The 22,368-nt window shown below is 57.3% G+C and overlaps 1 protein-coding gene across 11 annotated transcripts in view, besides 9 other annotated features; it reads right to left on the bottom strand.

The window, feature by feature from the left end:
- Positions 1–22,368, bottom strand: part of ZMIZ1 (zinc finger MIZ-type containing 1) — a 247,554-nt gene that overhangs the window by 151,102 nt on the left and 74,084 nt on the right. For 6 of the 11 annotated variants that reach the window (XM_047425538.1, XM_047425539.1, XM_005269988.4 and 3 more), the window contains one exon: positions 3,285–3,365. The exons of 2 other annotated variants lie outside the window; for them this stretch is intronic. The gene's annotated coding sequence lies outside the window, so the exon portion shown is untranslated. The remainder of the gene's footprint in view (positions 1–3,284; positions 3,366–22,368) is intronic. 3 more of the 11 variants (XM_006717923.4, XM_047425541.1, XM_047425543.1) reach the window with 1 other exon arrangement.
- Positions 2,447–3,118: an enhancer, noted in NCBI's record as "H3K4me1 hESC enhancer chr10:80922057-80922728 (GRCh37/hg19 assembly coordinates)". NCBI's record gives its function as "activates a minimal SCP1, AML or CMV promoter by ChIP-STARR-seq in naive H9 embryonic stem cells {active_cell/tissue: H9 hESC(naive)}" and the evidence as "EXISTENCE:reporter gene assay evidence [ECO:0000049][PMID:30033119]".
- Positions 5,803–6,652: an enhancer, noted in NCBI's record as "H3K27ac-H3K4me1 hESC enhancer chr10:80918523-80919372 (GRCh37/hg19 assembly coordinates)". NCBI's record gives its function as "activates a minimal SCP1, AML or CMV promoter by ChIP-STARR-seq in naive and primed H9 embryonic stem cells {active_cell/tissue: H9 hESC(naive and primed)}" and the evidence as "EXISTENCE:reporter gene assay evidence [ECO:0000049][PMID:30033119]".
- Positions 7,568–7,712: an enhancer, noted in NCBI's record as "145 bp enhancer 4 fragment used in the MPRA reporter construct; PK_construct_165". NCBI's record gives its function as "activates an SV40 promoter by MPRA in HepG2 cells {active_cell/tissue: HepG2}" and the evidence as "EXISTENCE:reporter gene assay evidence [ECO:0000049][PMID:23512712]".
- Positions 7,634–7,647: a transcriptional cis regulatory region, noted in NCBI's record as "HNF1 motif; enhancer activity is reduced when this motif is scrambled". NCBI's record gives its function as "necessary for full MPRA enhancer 4 activity {active_cell/tissue: HepG2}" and the evidence as "EXISTENCE:site-directed mutagenesis evidence [ECO:0005528][PMID:23512712]".
- Positions 8,355–9,206: an enhancer, noted in NCBI's record as "NANOG-H3K27ac-H3K4me1 hESC enhancer chr10:80915969-80916820 (GRCh37/hg19 assembly coordinates)". NCBI's record gives its function as "activates a minimal SCP1, AML or CMV promoter by ChIP-STARR-seq in naive H9 embryonic stem cells {active_cell/tissue: H9 hESC(naive)}" and the evidence as "EXISTENCE:reporter gene assay evidence [ECO:0000049][PMID:30033119]".
- Positions 15,216–15,295: a silencer, noted in NCBI's record as "silent region_2532". NCBI's record gives its function as "represses an Ori minimal core promoter by ATAC-STARR-seq in GM12878 lymphoblastoid cells {active_cell/tissue: GM12878}" and the evidence as "EXISTENCE:reporter gene assay evidence [ECO:0000049][PMID:35858748]".
- Positions 15,356–15,415: a silencer, noted in NCBI's record as "silent region_2531". NCBI's record gives its function as "represses an Ori minimal core promoter by ATAC-STARR-seq in GM12878 lymphoblastoid cells {active_cell/tissue: GM12878}" and the evidence as "EXISTENCE:reporter gene assay evidence [ECO:0000049][PMID:35858748]".
- Positions 18,506–18,595: an enhancer, noted in NCBI's record as "active region_3627". NCBI's record gives its function as "activates an Ori minimal core promoter by ATAC-STARR-seq in GM12878 lymphoblastoid cells {active_cell/tissue: GM12878}" and the evidence as "EXISTENCE:reporter gene assay evidence [ECO:0000049][PMID:35858748]".
- Positions 19,562–20,500: an enhancer, noted in NCBI's record as "H3K4me1 hESC enhancer chr10:80904675-80905613 (GRCh37/hg19 assembly coordinates)". NCBI's record gives its function as "activates a minimal SCP1, AML or CMV promoter by ChIP-STARR-seq in naive H9 embryonic stem cells {active_cell/tissue: H9 hESC(naive)}" and the evidence as "EXISTENCE:reporter gene assay evidence [ECO:0000049][PMID:30033119]".

The following is a 22,368-nucleotide window of genomic DNA, read 5'->3' as shown; positions in this document are numbered from 1 at the left end:
CTCTGAGTCTCCCAGAGCCACTACTCAGGCTAGGGTGCACTGTCATCCTGGGTCTCTGGGCAAGGAACCCTGGTCCCACATTAGGGCCAGAATGAGAGAAGCTGCTAAGAGGAAACCGGCTTTGTCAGGCCCAGCTCTGGCTCCCAAACTGAGCTCACCCAGGCAGGGGAGGAAGGCTTGGAGAACACACTCCCCATCTGCTGCCCTCTCCTGAAGGATCGTGGCCCAAATCCCAGAAAGGGAAAGGGAGCTGCTGAGGTTACACCAGACAGACCAGCATATCAGACCTAGGTCTGAGGCCCCCACCTCCCAGACAAGGGCTTTCTGTACCTCCCCACCCCCCTACCCAACCCACAACCTGTTAGACACCCTCTGATATAAGGAGTGTGGCTCTTTCCCTCAACCCTGCTCAGTGCCCCTATGTCCATGCAATGGGGCCAGTCAGCGGGGAGCAGGCACTGGTGCCTCAGCGCCTGTATCCTCGTCCAGTCCTCCCCTGGGACCTTTGGGAAGGGGCTCTGGAGGGAACAGGCTTCCTCCCGATCAGTGCAGCCTCCCCAGTAACCATCCTGGAGAGCCTCATGCTCTCTCCCAGACTCAGGGATGCTCCAAGCCCCAAAATCCACTGTCCAAGTGGCCCATACAGCCGCAACCCCAGCTTGCACACAGTTTAGTGATGAGGAACTCACCACCTCTGCAGGAGGCAGCTTTTTAACATAAAATCTCCAGATAGCTCAGACTCTTGGAAAGTTGAATTGGAAGATGCTGAAGAGATAGCATGGTTGCCACTAAGGGGCCTGAGGTCTCCTGGCCGGAGTTCACCAAGCAAGACTGTCCTTTCATCATTAGCTTGGAAAGTGACAGAACTGGCCCATCACCCTGACTGTCACTCCAAATTATAACAGAGCTACAGTCACAATATCCTATAGCCAGTACCACCTCCTTCACTCAAGACAGCTACCTAGAGACGCATGAGAATCACTCACTCACTCACTCACTCACTCACTCACTCAATTAACAGAATATCAATGGGGCCACTGCTCTGTGCCAGGGACTAAGACGTGGTAGTGAACAATGGTTCATTCAATGTTCTTTTCAGTTTAACAGCTGCCCTTCACCCATTTTACAGGTGGCAAAGCTGAGTCCAGGGAAAGGCAGCAACTTCTCAAAGCCATACAGGGAGCCAATGGTCAAGAGCGGAGCCCCACGCTGCCGCTGTTGGTGCTGACAGTGGGCCAGCCCTGGGAAGAAGGAGAGAAGGCCGCATGTTCACCGTCCCCACCCCCAGCCGTGTCTAGGACACCAAGGTATTGATTACCACCCTCGCCTTAGAGTGGTTTTCTTTTCTTTTTCCACCAAGGCTTTCTCTTCCTCATTTTTTTTTTCTTTTTCAAAGAATCAACTCGAAGCTGCTCCTATGATTAATTACCAGCTGCCTAATGCTCCGCCACTGGCAATTTATGGAAAAGGAATGAATTACCTTGAAAAACATCCGAAAAGAGAACCCACCGTGAAGGAGAATTTCAAAGGTTACCAGACAATTAGCAGGGGGTTCCCCTAGCCTTATCGAGTTGCAGGCAGGCCCCATCGGGAGAGGCAGGCCACCAGCCTGAGGGCCACCCTCTGGCTCCAGAGAGCAGCGGACTTGGCGGGCTGGGCAAAGGCTGCAGGGCAGAAATGGAGTGGCTTTCCCCAAGCAGCTCCCATGCTTGTCCTGGGGCCCCGCCCCTGGCCTCTAAGGCCTTATGCACTGGTTAATCCTGATGGACCTCGGTTCAAATCCCCATTCCAGCACTGATGGCTCTGTGGGTTTCCTAACCACGCCGAGCCTCTGGAGAATGAATTAGACAAACCTCCCCGTGGGATTCTTGTGGGGGTAAAAAGGTATTAAAGGAGCATAGTGCCTGACACACACACAGCAGATGCTCACGAGACTGTGACATTTAAAAATATTCATGGCTTCTAAGCATCCTCACAGCAGCTCTGTCAGCAATGTCAGTATAATCAGCCTCATTTTCAGATGAGAAAGCTGGCTCTCACACAAGGGAAGGGACTGGCCCAAGGTCATGCAGCCAATCAGCAGACAGCTGGGATTTCCTGCAGCAGGAACGGAGATGGAGCCTGGCTCTCCAATGTCGGAGCTTGACTGAGGCTCGCCTGGCCCTGCCCCTAGGCCCCTGGAAGCGCTAAGCTCCAGGAGGGACGCTGAGGGCAGCAGGGGATGTTAGGAGACAGCTCCACACCAGGGCGAAGACTCCCCCCTCCCGGGCTGCCCCAGCACCACGACGCCTTGGGACAAAGGGCTCTGGGCCAAGTAAGGATTTTTGTGAAGTCTCTCATCTCTAGGTTGAGAGTTGCCAAGTAAACAGGGATTACACAGGTCACCCTCGGGCACAGGGCCAAGTGAGATCAACCCTGAAATGCCACCCCATGATGAGAAATGCTGGGGCACGGGACAGAGCTGGGCTTGACCTCAGGACCTGCTGGCCCCGACCTTAGGACCTGCTGGCCCCAGCTGCTCTCAGTTGCTCCTCAAGGTGCCCTGCCCCCCTTATCAGGCGGGGGGTCCAGTTCGTGTCCATCCTGGCACTGGTGGGTCCTCAGGGGGAGCAGGGTGGTGGAAACTGAGGTGTGTGGGGAGAAAGGTGGGTCCTAGCACCCTTGAGGAAAAGGACTGACATGTCCCTAGTCCTTGCTGTGTGCCAGGTGTGTAGTCTCCTCACTGCGAGAGTGGAGCAGGCACCGCCATCTCATTCCCATTTGATAGATGGGTAAACAGAGGCACAGAGTAACCATGCATGCCAGTCAGGATTTGAATCCAGGTGGTCTGACCCCAGAGCCCAGTGTATCCATCTCGGCATGTTTGTGAGAGTGGGCAGAAGGGGTGGGTAGCCCTGCACCCATTTCAGCCGACATGCTCCTGCTCACCCAGGCCTCCTTTGGTGGGGCTGCCCATACTCCACAGGGTTTAGAGTGGTGCAGACAGGGCTGCTGTGCCAAGACCAGGTGGCCAGACCTGCCCCTCTCCCCGGGCAGACCTGCAGCCCCCACCCCTAGCAGCTGCTCTAGAGAAAGGCCAGGCCAAGAGGTCCCTGGGTGCCAGGTAGAGGGACAGCCCATTGGGGGCATGATGAGGTCCCAGCAAAGGTGGCTTGTGCCCGCTCCTGCCCCTCAGGGCTGAGGCCCGAGTCAAAGGTCCAGCGTGCTAGGGCTAGCACCTGCCCTCATGAGGACTCACCTGCGTCCGACCCAGCCACCTCCCGCCAGCCCCGTGGCACACCTACCTCAGTGATCTGCAAACCACCAGTGTTCCACACGCCGGTCAGCAGCTTGCGGCCCCTCCACCTCACTCCAGCTCCATCCTGCTGCAATGAAAGTGGGAGGTCAGCGGGTCTACCCACAGTAGAGGCCCGGCACTGACCATGAGGCCACTGCCCACTGCCACCATATCATCCCCATCTGACAGAGGGGGACTCTGAAGGGACATGATGGGGTGCCCTGGCATAAACAGGCCCCTGACTCCCCACACCTGCCAGTTACTGGTTATGTGATTACAGATATGCTCTCAGACTCTCTGGGGTTCAATTTCCTCACGTGTCAAAGTGGGGTCAAAGTATGTCTCAAGGTCACCGGGAGAATCCAGGGAGATGCAATGACAAAGGCACTTCGCATTCACTCATTCATTCAACAAACATTCAGCAAGCATGCTGATGTGATAGTGATCCCTACCCTTGCGGAGACTCAGACGAGAGCAAAGAATCAAATGATACAAAAGTAAAAGCAGTGCTTGCCAGAAACAAACAATGAGTCCAGGAGCCACACAGCAGAGACTCAAGGTCCCAGGTGGCCTCTCTGGAGAAGTGAAGTTGAGCAACAAGCCAGGGAGAGGCAGACCAAGATGCAGCAAACAGCATTCCAGGCAGAGGGAACAGCATATGTGAAGACTCCAAGATAGAGAAAAGTGCCTGGCCCAGTGGAGGACTTGGGGTCTGTGGTGTAGCAGATGCACTGAGCAAGGGAGGGGTGCCGTGAGTGGAGACCAGGGGCCAGGGACAGTAAGAAAGAGGGTGGGCAGGAGCCACAGCAGCATCTGGGCAGCTGAGGGATGTGACCCTAGTTCTAGTTTAGGAAGCCCCCATGGCTGTGAAGGGAGAAGGGCTTGGAGGAATAGGAGGAGGCAGAAGAGCAGTGGGGACGCTGCTCCAGGGTCCAGACCAGAGACAGTGGTGCTCGGGGCAGAGATGGCAGCAGGCAGAAGTGCAGGGCCTGCGGGTGCACTGGGAGTGTGGGCACACAACCATCCTTGTTGGGTGGGGCTCAGCTGGCCCATCTCCTCAACGGCCCACCAACACGCCCCCTACTGCCCACAGAGCCCTGAGGGCAGGAGGGAGGATGACACCCAGAGGCCTGGCTGGTGGGCTTCTCTGGGGTCTCAGCTGGAGGCTGGGATGTGCAGAACCCTGAATTCAAGCTATGGCTGTGAAGGTGCCCCGATGCAAGGCCGTGAACAGTCACTGTGCCTCTCTGCACCGGAGTGCCCACCTCTAAAAACCAGGAAACCTGACTGCAGGGCTGAGCTCCTCTCAGAACAAAGATCGTGGCTCACAGCGGGAGAGGTGGTGCCCACATCACGTGAAGCATAGGCCTCCATACACGCCAAGGGGCTCGGTAAGGGCCTCAGCCTGGGCTCCACCTCACTGTGCACAGGCAGGGGCTCCCAGGGAGAAATGGTGCCCAGGGCCTCGATAAGAGGCAAAGAGGCCTGGTGATTGAGAGGCAGGCTCAGTAATCACAAGGATCTGCTTCAAATCTTGGCTTCGCCCTCGTACCAAGTGTGTGACTTGGACACGTTTCTTAAGCCTCCCTCTGCCTCAGTTTCCTCAACTGTTGTAGGGGATATAGAAATAAAGAGAAGGCCTCCCTCAAAGAGCTGTGCAGACTGTGTAATGCACTGCATGCGAGGGCCAGACACCAGTGGCTCTCCACACACGTCAGCTGATGCATGGATGACCCCGTGGGGGCTGGTGCTGGGCTCCATGAGTGCTGGAACCCTACACCCCAAGATCCTGGGACCAGGCCCAGTGTCCCCACCCCAGCCATGGGGAGAGGAAGTGGCTCTACATCCTAACCTTCTGGCTCTGGCAGCCCCCAAATTCTGCTTACCTTGGAAATACAAACAGTTTTGGGGTTCACTGACCCCAATACTTCCCTTTCACTGAGGAGGAAACTGAGGCCCAGAGACAGGCAGCGTTTGCCCTCATCTGGGGTCATGCAGTGAGTCAGTGACTGGGGCAGAACTGGAGTCGGCCTCCTGCCTCCCCACCGCCCACAGCTAGGCCTTTCCCAAAGGCAAGCTGGCCAGCAGAGCCGCTGACAGAGAGAAAATAATTATCTTGGCAGCTGAGACGGAAGCCAGAGCCGAAAAGCCCTCGCTCCCCAGTGAGCATCGGCCAGGCCCGGAGAAACGGCGTCGGGCCATCAGCGTCTCAGGGGTGCTCGGCTTATGGTGCACACACGTACCTCACTGCCCCAGCCACCCCAGCCCCTTGGTGTTGGGCTTGTGCAAAGGGGCAAACTGAGATCAGAGAGGGGAAGGGACCCAGCTAGGGTCACCCAGCCATAAGTGGGGGTGCTAGAATTTGAACTCAGGCTCTGGTTGGGGGACAGTGAGCCTGCATTGGACCACCCTGCTAGGAAAGAGAGAAGGAGTAGGAGGGCACTCTGTATTGAGTCCATATTGTGGATTGTGCCCTGGATATTTCCTTTAGCACTCAGTGAAACGCTGTGAGGTGGACACTGACATCCCTGATTTCCACACGAGGCCAAGAGGTTCTATAACCTCCTGAGGTCGCACAGCTAATAAGCAGCCCACAGGAACACAGCCGGGATGTGAGTAAGCAGCCCATCCCCACTCACAGTCTGCCCGCTATGCGGCAACCAGCCGGAGAGCCTGAACCCTGCCCAGCCCTGGGAGCTGCTCAGCAGCCCTGCTCAGGGCCAGACGGCGCCGGGCACCCCTCATGCTGCGAAAGGGGGGCTCAGGAACCAGGAGCCTGTGCCATGCTGTGCACACCCACCACAGCTCTGCTGGTGCCTTAGCCGAGGCCCACAGCCTGTGTGGGCTTGGCCTCCTGGGGAGTTCAGGGAGAAGAGAGGGCAGGAGACGAGGTGTAGCCCCGTTTGCTCCCAGCCTGGTCAGACCGCAAGGATAAACCACGAGGGGCTGGAGGGGAGCGCTCTTTTGTGGAAAGGCCTTGGTGCCACGGAGTGAGTGCAGCCTGAGCCTCAAGGCCAGTGGAAGCCCACCCAATCTCCCCATGAGGCAGGGACCCCAATGCTCAGATAGCTCTCCCAGGCACCCTCAGCACAGCACTCTCACTTCTGGGGTGTGTGAGACCCTGACCACACGGCAGCTTCTCACTGCGAGGCCAGAAAGGGCAGCGTGCCGACAGCAGCCTGAAACACCCCTCACTCTCACAGTGCATCTGAAGCTCCCGGGGGAGGGGAGGCCAGGACTCACTCCTGCTTTGCAGAACATGACACTGAGAAGGATGGGGCTGCCAGAGGTGTCCAGCTGGAAAGTGACAAGGCTGAGTCTCAGACAAGGCAGATGTCACTTGGGGGTAGGGACTGTCCTGGGACTAAGAGGGGTTCCCCCCATCATATCTACCTTCCCAGCCCCACCTCCAGGGATCCCTGGGAGGACCTGGGTGTGGGCTGGGGTGGAGGCACTCGGTCATGTTGACCCGGGGCTGAGTCTGACCCAGAGAGATGCAGGATCAGTCAATCCAGGATGCCTGGAGGGCAGTGGTGCCCGAAATTTAGGACCAGGGGTGGCTCCAGGGCTGCGGCTAAGTAGCCAGTTGCTCTCTACAGCTGCTAAGGCTTGGGAGTCCACACTTGGGGCTGAAGCCCTGGCCCTGGCCTCAAGGGTTAGGGCAAGAGTGGGTAGAATTGGGTTTGAACACTTGCTGGGTGACCTTGAGCAAGTCACTAGGCTTCTCTAAGCCCCCAGCTCCTCTCTAAGCAGGGGCCGACCGCCCTCCATTGGCTCTCACCAGAGAAGGCTCCAGGTTGCACTGGGGGAGGGGGCAGATGGCCCTGGGTGCTGTGCTGGGCAGGGGTTACACCAGGGCACCCTCAACCTGGAGTTCAGGGCTTCCATCACCAGGCCTCAGCTCTTCATGCTTGCTGCTGACCACACACGTGCCTTGGCCCTGATAGCTGTGAGGCCTTAACAAGATACGGGGTGTGCAGATGCAGACACCAAGGAGTTAAAAGCTCAGCCCATGGTGCCCATCCAAATCAGGGTAATTGCTCAAGGTTATAAGTGGCCAAGTGGGGATCAGAACGGTGGTCACAAGGGTGTCCACCCACATCTGGTCCAACCCGCCGCTCCCCTGGCCAAGCTGGCGGAACCAGCTCCCGCTACACTGATCCTCAGGCGCCTGAGCTGTTCTACTGTCATTTTACAGATGTGCCAAACAGCTGCTGGTCAGGCAACAGGCAGACTCTTGGGGTGACAGGGGATTCCCCAACTTGGAGAACCCCACCGCCACACACATCCCCTTACATGACCCCAGGGACAGGCCCCTGTCCTCCCCTGGCGGGCCAGTGCTGGCTCCAGGAGCAAGGCAAATATTTACCCCATGGTTATCCAAATGGGGCTGGCTGCCCCGCCTCCTGCATTCCTGAAATACCTGTTCCCTGACCTCACCAAGCTGGGGGTGGGGATCCAGACACAGGGAAGAGCCAGACCCAGCCTGGGCCAGGGTGCAGGCCAAGGCCCACGGGCCAGAAGGATGAAGCAGCCCTAAATCACCCCTCCAGCCATGCACCCACCAGAGGAGGCTCCAGGGTGCTCTGGACATTGAGCTGGACATTGGCCGGAGCAAGGACCTCCCCATGGACAACAAGGGGAGAGGGTCACACTGCCCCAGGGTTCTGTGGCACCAATGCCACCTCAGAGCTCCTGTCATTAGGCCTCAGCTGTTCACACTTGCTGCCAACTGACCACACACACACACACACACACACACACACACACACCCCTTATGCCTGCAGAGAGAACCATTCAACCTGCTCAAACGTGGTAGATTCTCCCACCTGCCAGGCTCCTTCCTCAATAACCCTGGTAGCTCTCACTGCCCCACTCCATCACTCCATCCTCAGCACAATCCTGTCACCAGGGAGCTGTAAGGTCCCACTTTACAGAGGAAGAAATCGCTCAGCAGAGAGCAAAGGCCACACATCACACAGTGGCAGAACAGGAGCCGCAGTCCCCTACATGGCGCCTTGTGCAGCTCTACGTCTCGTCACTGTCCTTTGGAACCCTATCCATCCTTCAATGCTCAAAGAGCCACCTCCTCCATGCTGCCTTCTCTGAGAGCCACCTCCAAGGTACCCTCCCTGAACTTCCAGACATGCTGGTGTTTCTTTTCGCTTGCATAATTAAAATTAGGTGCCTGTTTATCTCTTCAGCCTCGAGGCCCATAAGGACAGGGACCTGGTAGTCCTCATTCCAGGCACAGCAGAGCTGAACCCAGGGACTTGGTGCTCTGGGAGAACTGCATATCCTCTCAATCTTTTCACCGAAGAGCAGTAACTACAGTTGGCCTCAAGGAACAGAAATGAATGAGGACCTAGGAAGCTGGTAGTTTGGGGTCTGCGGGAAGTCCTGGGCGGGGCTGCCCAAGAGTCCCGAGGTACGCTTGGTTCAATCATCCTGTCGATCTTTACCTCCTGTGAGGAGGCTCCAGGATGCCCTCCAGCAGACAGTAGGCACTGTCTTCCGAAGCCCAGCCCTGGAAGCCCAGCCTGCCTGCTGGGCCTGCTTTCCGCTCCTTGCCACATGCCCCTCGGCTCCCTCACCTTTCTCTCTCCCATGGGGAAGGCTCGAAAGTGGCCAGGGAAGGGCGGACAGGCAGCTCTGGGCTGACCTGCTGGGAAGGCAGGAACACCAGGTGAGAAAAGTGCAGGCCTGGCAAGCTGAGATCGTGGGAAGTCGTGGCTGGTACCTGCTGCTGGGCCCTCAGGACGCCTCCATGTGTGGGAAGTTCCTGTGGCCAGAGGACATGCCACGCAAACCTAGGGTCCCCAACCTGGCACCGTGGGGACCCAAAGAGTGAGAACTGGGGAAGAGCAGCGGGGGGGTCTCTGAACTACCCTCCCCACCCACCTAACATCCCTGCGACTTGGTTTCCTCATTTCAAAAATGGGGCTATAAAGTGACTTCTAGAAGTTGTTCATTTCATTCATTCATTTCTTTATTTAAAAACAACTGATGACAATGCCTGCTATCTGGCAGAGAAGGAAAAGAAGGAGAAGAGGTAAAGAGTAGGGGTGGGAGGGGTGGGGACGGGGCCAAAGGTCAGCACTTGCCCAGCCTTTGTGCTTCCCCAGGGTGCTCACACACTGTGTGACACCAGTGGGGAAGACACAGGAGATGGGTAATCCTCAGATAACTAGGGGCATGTGCACAGAGTGCTGGCGGGCCAGCCCAGCTCGGCCTGGAAGCAAAATGGGGGGCAGAGCCACCGTCCCTCGGGCAGTCTTTCAGGCAGGAGGGTACCTCTCCCTGGGCAAAGGCCCAGAGGCTTTTAGGGAGAAGAGCTTTGGGCTGAAGAGAGAGCTGCAGAGGGCATCAGTGAGCAGGGCGCAGCTGCATTCGTGGGGCAGAGGCACATGCACACATCCCTGGGGGCCTCTCCAAGGCCTTGCTCCCTGTCCAGTCCTGATCTACTGTGCTCTCAGGGCCAAGCTGGAGGGACACTTCCTCTTGGAGGAAGAGCTCATGCAGCATCGCCCAGGCCCCAGGAATGACTTCTGCCCGTCCTGCCTCAGCCGTGCCCTGGCTGGTGGTGCACATGCGTGGCTTGTCTGGCCTCCGGCCCCTGCCAACCTAGTCCCTTGGTGCTGGACTTGAACAGAGACAAACTGAGACCAGAGAGAGGGAAGGGCCCAGCCAAGATCACACCATGATAAAAACGGGAACTAGGATTCAAACTAGGATTCAGAAACAAATGACTCAGGCCCAGTCAGGGACTGGCTTCCCTTTCCTTTGAGTTTGCATCAGACCTGGAACTGGGAAAGGGAGGGGGAAAGCTGTCCCGACTGCCCCAGCCAACACCTCCAAGCAATCAAAGAGGCCTTGAACTCTGACAGGTGGCCCGCTCAAACCTGAGGAAGAGGGATGGGGCTCCCTTCTCCCCAAGTCACCAAATGAACAATTTCTGCTTTAATCAAGGGATGAGGGCACAGCATAGAATGGTGGCCTCTCTGGGTTCCAATGCATCTAGGTTCCGATGCATCAGAGAGGCCTCAGCTCTGACACTTACTTAGCTGCGTGATACTGGGCTAGGAACTTGGGTCAGTTTCCTCATCTGTAAAATGGGGGATACTAAGAGTCACTACTCTCACAGAGTTGTTGAAGGACATAACAAGATTAGGCCCATATGCACGTGCACAGGAAATGCTCCGTAAACAGGGGCCATAAGTCATTATTATCACTGGCTCAGGGTTGCTGCCCAGTGTAGACTTGGGGTCCTGCTGGGATGGGGGCACTGAACCCCGTATCACAGAGATAGAGAAAGACCCATGGCTCTGGGAAGATGAGTCCGAGACCAACTCAGGAGAGGCTTCATAGACCCCCACAGCTGGGCTTCGTAGAACCACCTGCTCCCAGGACAGGGTCCTCACCTCCTCTTCCACAGAAGCAGCCTAAGGTGTCAAGCATCCTCCAGGTGCAAAATCCGTGCCAGGTACTCCCTTCCACACCCACCACTCATCAGGCCCCATAGGGTGGGCACAGCCATCCCTTTTCCAGGGACCGAGGTCTTGCTTAAAGGGGCGCCTAGCTGGGGGTGGCCAGACCAGGTCCCCCGGCACCCACCTGGGCCCTTGCCACTTGCAATGCCAGGGTTCTAAGTGGAATTTCCTGCTGGTGGCCTCTCTTAGAAGTTTTGCCTCTTGCCTCTGCCCACTCTGCTTGGTGCCAACCACCTGGCCCTATGCTTCTGAGGGCTGCCCTAGAGGGCACCCCATCCCACCTCTGGGAGGCCCCCAATCCTAAATGCCCTGCAGCATTAAATGGGCCTGGCAGAGGCTCTCAGCAGAGTCCTTGGAGGTCCTTGGGAAGCTCTGAGTGCAAGCCTGCCACCCTACAGAGAAGGGGACACAAACCCAAAGGGGGTTTGTGGACCAGAATGGAACCCAGGTCCATTCTGGTGTTGGAGGTCCAACTGAGGACCCAGGGGGTCCAATATTGGCCCACAAGAAAGTCACTTATCCCTCCAGTCTGTTTCCTCATCTGGGGCTAACTGCAGCTCAAGGATTAGATGAACTGACATCATACCCATGATTGGCACAGGAAGGTCGTGGCACTGAAGGGCACAGGCACTGTCGGTGGCACACACAAACCACTGAGCACTGAGTGTTCTCGATGACCCCCTTCCTGGGCCAGGTGCCAGCCCCCTGGCGGTCACGCTTCCCAAACAGGCATCCCTTTGGGATTCTGGCCACACGTGGGCCAGGCCAGTCTGAAGTGATGGCCAAGACCCAGAGTTAAAAATGCCGGACAAAGGAAAGTCCTGTTCTTGCTAGCGGGTGGTGGCGGGTCTGGGCACAGGCTCTAACCTCACCCAGGCCTGGATGAAATCCTGGCCGGCTCACAAGCCACATGGCCTTAGCCAAGTCCCTGCACCTCTCTCTGCCTCAGTTTCTCCAATGGGTCATGAGGAGGGAGAAGGTTTAGTGGGTGACAAGTGCATGGTTCAACCTCTGGCTTTCAGAGCCCAGGCAACAGGAGCACTTGCTATTTACAGGAACATCAGGTCTCTCCCGCAAGGACAGCCAGTGGTGGTCTGCAGGGGACCTGCTGGAAGGCCAGGGAAGAAAGGGGATGACAGGTTTGCCGATCACGTTTTAGTCCCACCAGGGCAGATTCCCAGGGAAGCTCGACTTTCCCCACTGGGATTTTGTTTATACAGAAGTGAGGTTCAAATCCAGCCCTTGACCTAGGCAAGTGCCTCCCATCCCTTGACATCTCTGTCTCTCTATCTGCCAAGCAGGAGGAACGATGCCTGCCAATGCCCTGGGCTGCCAGGAGGACCACGGGATGGAGGACATAGTCCAGCCCAGTGATGGACTACAAGGAGGAGGGTCCTTATTCTGTTCTGTCTACTGCCAGCCCTGTTTGAGCCAGCATCTGCCCAGAGCATGGCCCAGGGCCCACCCCAGAAGGCATTCAGAGCCTCCCCAGGGGCTTCCCAGCTGAGGCTGTCAGGGAAGTCCTAGGATGCCCCTTCTTCTCCCTTGAATCTGGGGTCTCATTCGTTCTTTCAGAAAGAGGGGTTCCCTCAGTCCAGCGACACGGTGAGATTCTCAGGGGAGTCACCCTTCACCTGCCCATCAACAGACAGAACCCATCCTCTGGGGCCCTGGAAAGGCCTAAAAGGCTGGACCCCCATGGTGGGTTTCCTCTTCCTGTTGCCACAGCACCCAGTACCAGGCTGGCAGGTCCAGGAATCCCCGAATATTTTCTGGAAGAATGAATGGGCAGTGAAGGCAGCAGTGGTGCATAACTGGCTTAGATCAAAGAACATGGTGGCTGACACTGGTACAGATTCTATAAGGTGGGTGGTGTTAGCCCCATCTCACAGATGAGGAAACAGAGGCTCAGAGGCATGAATTCACTTGCCCAGTATTAGAAAGTGGTAGAGCTGTACTCAGCACAGCCTCTGGGCTCCAGAACCCATGCACCAGCCCACAGTGCTGCCTGGGGATCCGGGCAGGGCGGAGAAAGCAGCCCGTCTGAGGCCATCCAGACTAGAGCTTTCAAGCCTGGCCGCAGGCCCCGCCCCGGAGATCTGATTTAACTTGTTTGGGGTGGGTTATCTTTTTTCTTTCTTTTCTTTTTTTGAGACAGAGTCTCACTTTGTAACTCAGGCTGGAGTGCAGTGGTGTAATCTCTGATCACTGTAGCTTCGACCTCCTGGGCTCAAGCGATCCTCCCACCTCAACCCTCCAAGTAGCTGGGACTGCAAGCGCCCACCACCACACCCAGCTAATTTTTTATATTTTTTGTAGAGACAGGGTTTTGCCATGTTGCCCAGGCTGGTCTCAAACTCCTGAGCTCAAGTGCTCCTCTTGCCTCAGCCTCCCAAAGTGCTGGGATTACAGGTGTGAGCCACTGTACTGGGCTGGGCTATCTTTCAAAGCTGCCTCGGATCTCATCTGGGGCCATGGCTGAAATCCCTTGGCCAGCCTAATATCCACTCTTCAATGGGGGAAATTGGCTCAGAGAAGAGGAAGGGGACCTGCCCAAGGTCACCTCTGGTGTTGGGGGAGCCTGGGCCCTAGAGCCCGGTCCCCTGACTACTCCATCCTACGTTTTGAACTCTTATAAACAGAGCAGAGCACCATCACCTGGTGGAGCAGCCCAGGGGGCCCAGATGGCGGCGGGCGAGATGAGGCAGACAGGCGGGAGGAGCCAGCACAGCACGCAGCCAGATGACACACAGGCCCAGCAATTCCTGACTCATGGCCACCCAGCCCGTGACTCCACCCACCGCCAATGCCCCCACCCTGGCTCACATCCCGCAGCCCACTGCAGCCTCCAGAGTCCACTCCCATTCAGAGCTAGAAAGCCATGGAGGGAGGGAGAGGCAGTGGGGCCCACCCGGGCCTGAGTGGCAAACCCAGACAACCCCACGCCGGTGGGACTCAGGGGCACCAGAGGAAGAAGGAGGGGTGGTGGTGCCACCCTCAGTGCTGGCTCTGAGCAGCGCCTCTCCAGCCTTGCGGACAGGCACCCAGCTACAGGAGGAAAACTGAGGCCTCCCAAGCCCAGCTGGTGCTGACACCCACTTGGGCTAACTTTCTTTGCCCCATGACCCCTCTTGAATCAGGGCTCCAACACCGGATGAGTGTGCCAGGCTTCTCTGCTGCCGGTTCCTCTCCCCATGAACTCACTACTCCTCTAAGAACTTTCAGTGGCTCCCCACTGCCTACGAAATCTAGTCCTAATCCTGACCTGTAATGTTTCCCTCACAGGGAAAAGGCTGATTCAAAGGGAAGGGCCGCAGGGGGCCCAGCACTGTGTCCCCAAATCTTAAGGACTTCTCACAGCACCCTAAGACACTGGCTCTGAAAGGTCCACTTGCCAGATGCAGACACTGAGGCTCAGAGCAGCAATGTGTCCAAGGCCACCAGAGTCTGAGCTGTGGCCACCCCATGGCAGGGGCTTGGCTGCTCAGGTGCCTGGTCTTCCCTGCTGCTGACAAGCTTTCAGCTCGCCCAGGAGCTCAAGGTGGCCCCCGGATCTGTCTTAACCCATCCAATGTCACAACGACTCTGGTCTTTCCCCGTGGTGCCCTGACCCCTCTGCTTGGCCCCCTTTAAGACACAGTTGATTCCCTAAGCTGCTACCCCTGCTGATACTGAGGTGGGCTTGGGCTTACTTGGGGAGGTGGGTCATGGGTCAGAGAGCACCCACCAGGAGGGAGGAAGAGGATGGGGTTGGGAGGGTGGTGGGACAGCCTGCCCCTCAGCACAGCCCCATCCCTGCTTCTGGCCCAGCTCCCTGAGCAGAGCTGAGAGACGGAGGCATGCTCCGTCGCCCGGCTTCTGGGAGATGAGAGAAGGGGCTCCTTTCCAGGCAGACAGGGGTGGATGGGGAGGTTTTGTGTTATCACCCCCCAAGCCTGGCTGTCTTCACAGGGCACACATTCAACCCACCCCAAACCCTTTATCCCATGGGATGCTCATTGCTGGGCAGAGCGTCTGCCTCTCCCTGTTTTTCTACAGATGAGACCCAGAGTGGCTGAGTGACTTGCCCAGGTGCACCAGCAGGTTGGTGGAGGATCCCAGACCAAGAGCCCCAGCCTCCTGGCTCCCAGGCCTAGTCCCACTGTGAGGTTTCTCCTGCTAGGTCCCCAAGGGTCACAGGCTTTGTCTGAGAGGAGATAAGTCATTAGCATGTGTGGGGGGTGCAGGACGGGCGTGGGCCCAGAGCTGCCACCACGGGGAGGCCCAGGGAGGGGGTCAGCGCAGGCCAGAGGCAGGGCGGCCCGAGGTCGGGCTTCCTTTCTCAAGAGGGCAGGATTCCTGGCAGCAGCTCTCATGGGAAATAGGAGAAGTGCCAGCCGTAGAGAATACGGGGTGGGGCAAAGGTGGTGTCTGGGCAGGGCTTCCTGTTGGGTGGGCGGGTGGCCACTCGCCGAGGCCTAGTGACCTGCACGGCTGCGGCCCGGGGCCAGGCCAGGGTTGGGTTTCGCCTCATCCCTGGCTCAGGCCCAGGCCACCCTGAGCCCCATCCTCCAGCCCCGCCCTGGCTTCCTGTCCCACTGGCCCCACCCAGCCCAGGGGAGAGGGAGGGCCGAGCAAGCCTCCTCAGAAGCACCAATGCTTTCTGGGGGCTGGAGTGGGCAGGCCACGCTGGCCTGCTTAGTGGCCTTTGGCCTCTTACCTCTAGGCCTCCCACCGTTCATTTTCCAGTGTGAGGCCTCGACAAAAGTGCTGCTGGGTTTTCTTCCCAGGAGGGCACACTTCAGACACAGCTGAGCGGGGGCCCCTGATTGAATCCCTGCCTTTCCAAGTCAGCAGACAGCAGTGTCCCCTGGGAGAAGTCATGCCCAAGAGACCAGGATGAGAGGAAGAGTGAACCAAGGCCAAGTTCAGGCTTCGAATGCAGAACTTCCTGGAGGGCGAGCTCTTGCAGAAGGCGTGCCACCCCACGGGGCCACGCAGCCCCACATGAGGACAACGTGATGTCAACCACAGGCACAGCGCCTAGAGAAAGACCCCTTCACCCCACCCTGACTTGGCATGCCTGAACCCCTGAAGTGTCTGGAGGAGTCTGGGTGGGAGGGGAGCTTGGCCCAGGGGCTGCAAGGCTACCCATGGCCTCCAGGTGAATCCAGCCCATTCCCTGTGGCCTCAGGAACTGGAGGCTCACCTGTCCACAGGTTGGGGGTATGGTGGGAGTGCAGAGGTTGGCAGCCCGACCCAGTGAGGGCAGAGATCTGAACAGAGGCCCTCAGCCCTCTCCAGTCCCCTCTCCTGCCCATTCATGCTCTCCCAGGGCAGAGGGACTCAGAAAGCAAATAGGCCAGAGAGCAAGGAGGACTCTTCCAGCTGGCCGACAGCCCACCAGGGACAAAAGCCTCTTGGCTTAGTGCTGGGGATGAACACAGATGGGAGGGGGTGTGGGCCTGCCTGGGGCCCAGCCTTGCTCGAGATTACCCCAGGGACAGGGACAGAGATAGGGACAGAGCAGGGATCCAGGTCTCCTGCCTGTACCAAAGGCAGCCCAAGGGCCTCCTCATGAAGGCAAACTCACAGCAGTCCCTCCTGGCTCCGGGAGCTCCTGAGTGGTGAGAAGGTGGGTCAGCCCAGCTTAGGCAGGAACTGACTTTAGCCACACCCTGGCTGCCAGCGCAGGCCACTGATGACTTGTCCAGATTACCCCAATCAAACAGGCCCTGGCGGGGCCACGTACAGACCCAGCTTGATGCTCTGCCTGCAGGGAGGAAAGCCCGGGAGGGACTCAATTGGAAACTGCCAAGGGCCTAAAGTCTGTGGCCCTAAGACAAGCAGGGTGGAAGACAGAAGTCAGCGTCAGCCTGGTGGGAGGCCAGGACCCCATGTCCCAGGAGGAACTACAAGACGGCAGTAGTAAGCCTCGTGACCCCAGAGATATGCAAGCTGAGGCTGGGGACATACAGGCCTAGGCAGCATTCTGGGATGCTGACCCAGCAGCTTTATTAAAAACCCCGGCCCAGAATCCACATTCAGTTGTAGGTGGCATGATGGCGGATCTGCGTCACCCTCAGCCCTGGCCACCCAGCTCCACCCCTTTTCCGGACAGGCGTTTCCTAGAACAGCCTGAGCACACGAGCCTGTGGGACTCTTCCAGATTGAATACCCTAGACCTCATCACAACAGAGACAAGGTCTGATGATGCTCTGTGTGGCCTTGATGCTGGCTCTCTACACCCCCTTGTCTCAGGCACCTGGTGGGCTCTGCCGTTGGCCTATCCTGGGGAAGTACGCCTAAGCTTCCTCAGAACCCAGGGGAGCCTGTGGGGTCAGCCATGCCCTGCCTCCTAGCCAAGAGCCAGCTCTCTCCTAGGCCTTACCTGGGCCTGGCCCTGGGCCCACCCTGGAATGTTGCTGGATTCCAGTTCGGCCGTGATCATGCAGGGTGAGGGATGTATCTTTTGTGGAGCGTGGGCCCCATACAGACTTGGCTGCCAGGAAATGTTTGTCAAAGGAAGGAAAGAGGGAAGAAGCAGGGAGGAGGTGGACAAACAGACACATGAATGCAGGTGGGCTCTCAGAAGCATGGCCCCAAAAAGCCACCACAGCCCTCCTCCTCCAGGCCCCCAGAGATGGTGTCATCTATGCAAGACACAGTATGCAGGCTGACAAACCTCGATGAAGGCCTGGGGAGGCCCCACTCTGCAGCTGCCACTTCCCCTGGTGCTCTGCTCCCCATGTGGGCTAGGAGAAGGCCCCCAGGTGTCCGAGCCCAGGGCCTCTGTGTTCTGCCCACATGCACACATTTGCTTTGGAAGCCCAGGGTCTGGCTCACACCTCCCTAGAGGAAGGGGACACTCTCCCTGGCTAGAAACACCTGCTTGGTCCATGAGAGGCTCGGCGGTGCCTCTCACTGCTCTTCCTGAGCCCTGCAACAATGTAGGGGTTGCATCCTCCTGGAATGGCAGTGGGGTGGGAAATGGCCAGCTCATGACAAGATCACAGGGGTTTTGCAATGAAAGGTGATGCTGCCCATCCAATGGGAAGAAAATATGTCACAGAGGCGAGGGTTTGACGAAGTTTCCAGAAGGTCTGTGTTCTGACAACCCCTATCCCTGCCTAGCCCAGGTCCTGGCACACAGTAGGTGCTAATAATTCAGTGGCCTGATGGATGCACACGGGAGGCCTGGCTTCCACACTCCTGCCACGGAGGCCAGGGCTCTAAAGCACACTCCAGGGGCCATACACATGGTGGTTGTGCCCATGTGTGTCCCTTTCTCTGGTGAGGACTCTGTCTTTCTCGGCTCCCCCTGGTCAGAAGGTGCCCACCCTCTCTATTTAGGGCTGAGAGAGTTCTCTGTTATCAAGCTCTGTGCCTTTTCTTGACAGATGGGTTGGGGCAGGGAGGTCAGTCGTCCAGGGAGGGCAGAGGATCAGAACAAGGCCATTCCCCAGCCCAGGCCTCCCCATACCAGATTCTGAGGCCCAAGAGCTCTAGGACCCAGCTCGGGGCTCCCTGATGCCCATGGCGATCCTCGCTGCCACCACCCACACCAATGTGGCCCTTCTCCCTGGCTCTGTGTCACGGCCTCCTGGCTGCAGCTGGCCTGAACTGCTTACTTGGACAAATAGCGAGAGAAACCAGCCACGTGATGGCTAAGGTTTCCTTGGCCAGGGACAGGGATATACACACACACACACACACACACACACACGTACACTACACACACGCACAGCCACTTGTGGGTCAGGTAGTCATGTGGCCCAGGCTTCTGTGTCTCTGAAGGACAAGTGACCGGCTGCCCTTCTTCACCCAGAAGAATGCCCTCCCCAAGCACTTGTTTTCTGCTTCCTGGATGTGCCAGGGGTTTGCTGGGTGGGAAGCCCAGCAGAGTCGGGGCGGAAGCGGGAGCAGAGGGAGGGGGCAGAGCACCCGCCCAGCCCCAGCCCTGCCTGTGTCTGGTGTTTTCCTTCCGCCCTCCCCACCCAGAGGGCAGATGTCTGCTGGGAAACTGTGGCCACCCAGCCGTTCCCTGACTACAGGGACAATCCCCAAACTCAGGGAGAATCCCAAAGCCCAACGTTGGGGCCACACAGGAGGGGAGCCAAGGCTCAGAGAGAAGTCCCTGTGATAAATGGCAGAGCTGCCAACATGCTGCACCTGGACCAGTGGTTTTGTAGCTGGAGTCCATGGTATATTATAGCCTTTGGGGCATCTAGGGGGTGAGGGAGGGTAGAAGAAGGGGGTGTCTAGTCCAACTCAGCAGGAGCGGCTCTGCCTTTGGTCTGTTGCTTGGGAAAGGTCTGCGGGCCAGAGTCTTGAGCACTTTTCCAGCATTGGGGATCTGTGTCTCCGCTACTACCCCAGGGTGGCAGGCTTGTCCTCACAGCCTGAGATGGGCCCACTAAGACAGAAGGACGCCACATCTCTTGACAGGCAGAGCGGAGACCCTGCTCTAGGGGAGGAAGGCTGAGGGGTGGAGAGTGGGGAGCGGGAAATGCCAGCTCTATGGGGGTCTGCAGCCAGCTCCCACCCTTCCCTGGCCTCAGGCCTGACCCCCAGGACTCCAGAAACTCACTGCAGATGCATCTCAGGAAGGCCGCAAAAAATGAAAGGCATGGCCAAGAGTTCCCAAATAAAAGCTAATTCCTGGGCTGGGTGTGGCAGCTCACATCTATAATCCCAGCACATTGAGAGGCTGGGATGGGAGGACTGCTTGAGCCCAGGAGTTTGAGACCAGCCTGGGCAACATAGTGAGACCTTGTCTCTAATAAAAATTTTAAAAATTAGCCAGGCATGCTGGAATGCATCTATAGTCCCAGGTATTCAGAAGGCTGAGGTGGGAGGGTCAGTTGAGCCTGGGAGGTCAAGGCTGCAGTGAGCCACTGCACTCCACCCTGGGTGACAAAGCAAGACCTTGTCTCTTAAGAAAGTAAAAAGGCTAATTCTGGCCAAGCCCCTCCCTCCGCTAAAGCCCTTCACATAGGTTATCTCACTGACTTCTCACAATAACTCCATGACTCTGTGTTCTTCACCAATCCCCCACCCCACTGTCTCAGGGCTGCAGAATGAAGCCTCGGGAAGGGCTTTACTGTGGAGGCAGGTAAAATTATCACCCCATTTTATGGATGCAGCACAGAAATCAATGTGAACTAACCGGAAGGTCACACAGTTAACAAGGGGTGGGGTGGGATTTGAACCCGGAGACCCCAACCCTAGACTCTGTGTTCTTCACCAATCCCCCACCCCAACAACTCAGGGCTGCACAGGGCTCCTCTGGTGGCCCCAGCCCCCAGCCCAGCACACCTCGCAGGCACTCCGGAATGCAGCTTCGGGAAAGGCTCTACTGTGGAGGAGGAGGGAGAGAAGACCTCAGGAGAGGAGGAGCACTGGGATGGAAATGTGAGCAGAGGAGGCAGGAGAGAGTCTTGTCAGTGGAGAAAGACACAGAAAGGGAGGAAGAGTGAGAGGCAAGGCCATGAGCGGAATAGAGAGAAGAAAGGAAGATACAGAAAGAAGATACAGAGAAGGAAGACACAGACAGAGGGGGAGGGGGAAAGAGGGCAGGAAGGAGGGAGGAGGGGAGACAGAGAAGAAGAAAACAGAAGGGGAAGAAGGTGCAGCTGGGCAAGAGGAAGAAAGAAGGAAGGTGGAGGGCAGGAGATAGATGGAGGGATGGCGAGGAGGTGGGAAATGAGCCACCAAGAAGCCGAAGTGGATGAAGAAGCCAGGAGCCACGGAGACAGACACACAGCAGAGAGGAGGTCAGGGCCTTGGAAAACTGAGAGGCAGACGGAAAGCAAGCCCGCCCACCGAACATTGAATACCTAACAGGAGATGACAAATCAAATGGGAATTACTGCGGTAAAAACATAATTAGAAACTTGATTGAAGTTAAACAGAATTTACATAACACTGCAAATTAACTTTACACGGAAACTATTCACTGGGAAGGCAATGAAAAGGCATTTCATTAGTAATCTATATTTAAACAATAGGCACAATGGAGCCTTCTGATGAGGAACTTGGTGCCTTCCACCGGAGCCGGTGCCAAAGACTGCAGGAAGACCAAGCACAGTGGGTGCTCCAGGCAGAAATGGGCAGGGACCAGGGGGATCCCTGTGCCTGCTTGTGGGGTGGGGTGGGGACACAAACAGGCCAGGTGAGCTTCTGGTGCCAGTGCTGTCCTTGACTTGCTGCGTGGCCCTAGGCAAGTGTCTTACCTTCTCTGGGCCTCGGTTTCCTCACCTGCAAAATGGGGCCAGTGGGGAGGCAGTCTATAAGCCTGGATAGTCTAAGACAGTCTGGGAGATAGTAGAGGATTATAAGAGCATGGGTTCTGGAGTCAGACGGATGCAGTTCCTGCCCCTTGTGAGCTATGGCATCATGCAAGAATTTTCCTCTCTAACCCTGTTTTACCCATCAGTTCAATGGAGGTAAGTCCAGTCCAGTCCCGCCTGATGTCACCAAAGCAGTACAAGGATTTAGGGAGAGAATGGATAGGGACAGGCTTAAAGAAAAGTGAGTCTAAAGGCACGGGATTACTCGTCCCCTCCGCCGGGCACACTAATGAGATTACCCGAAGCCTCCTGCCACCGCTCTGCCACGGAGCCATGCATCATCAGAGCAGCTGCTGCTGCTGCCCTAGTCCCCGATGCAGAGTTGGAGGGGCATCTCCCCCTGACTTTCCCGAGGGAGAGGAGGTCCACAAGTCCCTGCCTGGCTCCATTCAATTCTCAGCCTGGAAAAGTCTCCTGAGCCTCCTCTCACGTCCTGGCCATGTCAGACCGCACTCACTCTGCAGACGGGCTGGACTGTGCTCCCGAGTCTCCTTCGCCTGGACACACTCTTCTCTCCACCCCCACCCCCCAGCCCCTATCACACCTTGCACACCTGCCCGGCCTCTGGCCTTGTTCAGGGCAGCTATACTGTGTGCAGCCGTTCCTGACCAAGTCAAGGCCGTTCTCTCTGCTGGGCACCTGCAGTGCTCACTGTTATGCTGGAAGGTGTGGGTTCTTTACCTGTCCCCCCACCACCCCATCTGGACTGCCAGTTCTCAGCGCAGAAACCCTCCACTGTCATCTCTGCACACCCTGACTCGAGCCCTGCATTTGGCACAACACAGGTGCTTAGGAAACACTGGTTGACCTCAGAGTGGTCAAGGGAGGCTTTCTGGAGAAGGTGGGACTAGAGCTGCACGCTGAAGGGGAAGAGCATCTGACAAGACCCACAACTCTGCTGTGGAGAGAGGGGTGAGTGGGCCCGGGGTCAAACCTCAGCCAGAGCAGAGGGATAGCTCAGAAGCTCCTGGGTCTGTTTCCAGAGTCTCGGGGAGCCCTCTCCTGTGAACTGCAGTACAGGGCAGCTGCAGCACCCCAAGACATACTACTGGTGGGTGGCAAAGCTGGAATTCTAAGTCAGGCTCAGGCTCCTGAGCACCAAAAAGGTACACTCAGGAGCCAAGGGAGAGATGGAGCGGTGGGGAGCTCCTGGAAGGTCAGGAGCACACTTGTTCCTCGGGATCCTACCCAGCCCGGGGCCTGGCCTGGAGGGGGCACTGCTGATGTTTGCAGTAGAGGCTGAGAAAGAGAGAGACAGAGATGGAGAAAG

Source organism: Homo sapiens, chromosome 10 (genome assembly GCF_000001405.40).
Source record: "Homo sapiens chromosome 10, GRCh38.p14 Primary Assembly".
NCBI lineage: Eukaryota > Metazoa > Chordata > Mammalia > Primates > Hominidae > Homo > Homo sapiens.
Note: the sequence above shows the minus strand (reverse complement) of the source record. Positions and strands in the feature narration are given on the sequence as shown.